Source organism: Homo sapiens, chromosome 15 (assembly GCF_000001405.40).
Source record: "Homo sapiens chromosome 15, GRCh38.p14 Primary Assembly".
Lineage (NCBI taxonomy): Eukaryota > Metazoa > Chordata > Mammalia > Primates > Hominidae > Homo > Homo sapiens.
This window is the reverse complement of record NC_000015.10, coordinates 98,255,976-98,258,100: the sequence shown is the minus strand read 5'-3', so window position 1 is coordinate 98,258,100 and position 2,125 is coordinate 98,255,976. Positions and strand designations below refer to the sequence as shown.

Here is a 2,125-nt window from a genome sequence, read left to right as displayed (position 1 = left end):
CATGAGCCACCGCCTCCGGCCTAAAGGCCCCATTCTTGACTATGTGAATGTGACTTCTGACAGGTTTGTGAGTGATTTTATCATCTGTGGAATGCGCCTGTGACCAACAGCCAACCAGGGTACTAAGCTGAGAAAGTGCTTGGCTCATATTAATTGATTCTGCCTCTGCTCAAGGAGGCTGGTGAATCCATTGTCTCTAGTCTGTAATTTTGGGAGTTGACAAGATTTTGTCTAGAAGTAAATGGCTCTCAGATAGTAATGATGATTTCATTGCTTGAAAATGATAGTTTGTCCAAACTTTTCCCAATGGACTCTCCTGCTTGGTCAATCTTTCCTCATTTAAAGGAACATTTGAAGCATGACTGTTAAATGCTAAGTCATTTGGAAACAGAAGTCTACACTCCTGATTTCCTTTTCTTTCTATTTTGACAGCTGAACTCGAGTATTTTGGGCCCTAAGAAGGAAGGACAAAGATCCCTGGAGAACTCTCCTGTGGTGTCCTTGTTTTGAGTAGCAATGGAGGTAAGTGCTTGTTTTGTTATGAGCTGGTTTCATGGTGCTGTACTTACTCCTCCTCAAATTCAGAAGGGAAATGGAAGGCAAACAGGCAAGCCTTGGGGTGAAGAATAAGTTCCAATTGATGTACCCCACCCCACCCCCAGTTAGTGGCACAAAAGCCTGGTGGTGGCTGCCAGCCTTTCCTTTTACCTACCTTTTGTCTTGTCCTGCTGAGGATGAAGCTTATTCTGCTTGCTGCATAAAATTTCCTCTAAGGAAAGTGTTACGACTCCAGCTGTGAAAGTGATTGATGTCCTTCTAGACTCCAGGGGCTTTTGCAAACATCCACTGTCATTTTGAAGCGGAAAAAAAGTGCAAGTGTGTGTCGGGGATTGTGTGAAAAAACCATTATTCTTTATTTTATCGAAATGGGGGTGGGAAAGGAAAAAAATGTAAGTGTGAGTACTGGGCTTCTGTGATAAATAGACTGCTTAGGTTTTAACAGTGAAGGCACTCTTTCTTAGGAGTGAATTTTTGGCCATTCATTCATTCACCTGGCAGATATTGAGACCCTATTATGCGCTGTACCTCGTGTTGGCTTTGGGATAAGCAAAGATGAATAAAAGTGAGTGTCTATCCATGTGGTTCATAATCTTGTGGCAAATACATATGTTTAAATAAATTATATTATAATGCCATTTGAGATGTAGCAAGGAGGAGGTGAGAATACTGCAGGAATAAATGATTCCTCCCTTGGCTGTCAAAAGGAGAAAGCCTGGGCTTTATAAAGGCAGTGACGTTTGAGTCTTCAAAGGGCATTTAGTATCAGGATAAAGAGTCCAATCTGGACTCTTGCTCTGCCATCTCCTAGCTCTAGGGCCTGGAGCCATGCCCACACCTATAAATGAGCATAGTAGTGCCGTAGGGTCATTGTGAGCTTTAAATGTCCACAAACAAAGTGCTGAACGCAGAGCTGTGCACAATGAATTATCTACCAGAGTGTGATCTAGCATCAGGGTCCTGGCTATTGTTTACTGTTGTTAAAAGACAAGTAGGAATTTTTCAATCAGAGAGAAGGCAGAGTACAGATGAGAAACAGCATCTAATAAGCTGAACTGAAAAACTATAGATGAGGGCTGGGGGAAATAACTCCCTCTATGAATAAAAGGGGCTCAAGTCTCTTTGATTTTGGTTTGTATTTTGTGGAGTGGTGGTGTAGGGAGGTGTTGAAAACCTTTGAGGACACTTTAAAGAATAAAGAAGTGACTTGGTTCAAGTCATTTTAGTACCCATTCTCAGGAGGGTTGTGCTGAAGTGCACATTAATTGTGGGTGTTCAGAATGGATTTGATTTCACAAATGCACTTTGTTTCTCTGATGAAAAACAGGAGGGCTGGATGACAGTGGAGTCAAAAGGTTTTAGGCATGTGCCAGGCTGGCACTGGGGTGGCAGCAAGGTTGGTGTGCTAATTGTGATCTTAATGAAAATGACTTGCAATCTCTTTTGCTTCTTTTCCCTTTAAATCAAGATTTGGTTGGACCAGTGGTTCTCAGCCTTGGTTGTACATTAGAATCTCCTGGAAGACTTAAAAAATGCCAGTGCTTGCACCAGAGCCCCCGAGACTCTG

The 2,125-nt window shown here is 42.4% G+C and overlaps 1 annotated feature.

Moving 5' to 3' along the window:
• Window positions 232–1,085: an enhancer, noted in NCBI's record as "OCT4-NANOG hESC enhancer chr15:98800245-98801098 (GRCh37/hg19 assembly coordinates)". NCBI's record gives its function as "activates a minimal SCP1, AML or CMV promoter by ChIP-STARR-seq in primed H9 embryonic stem cells {active_cell/tissue: H9 hESC(primed)}" and the evidence as "EXISTENCE:reporter gene assay evidence [ECO:0000049][PMID:30033119]".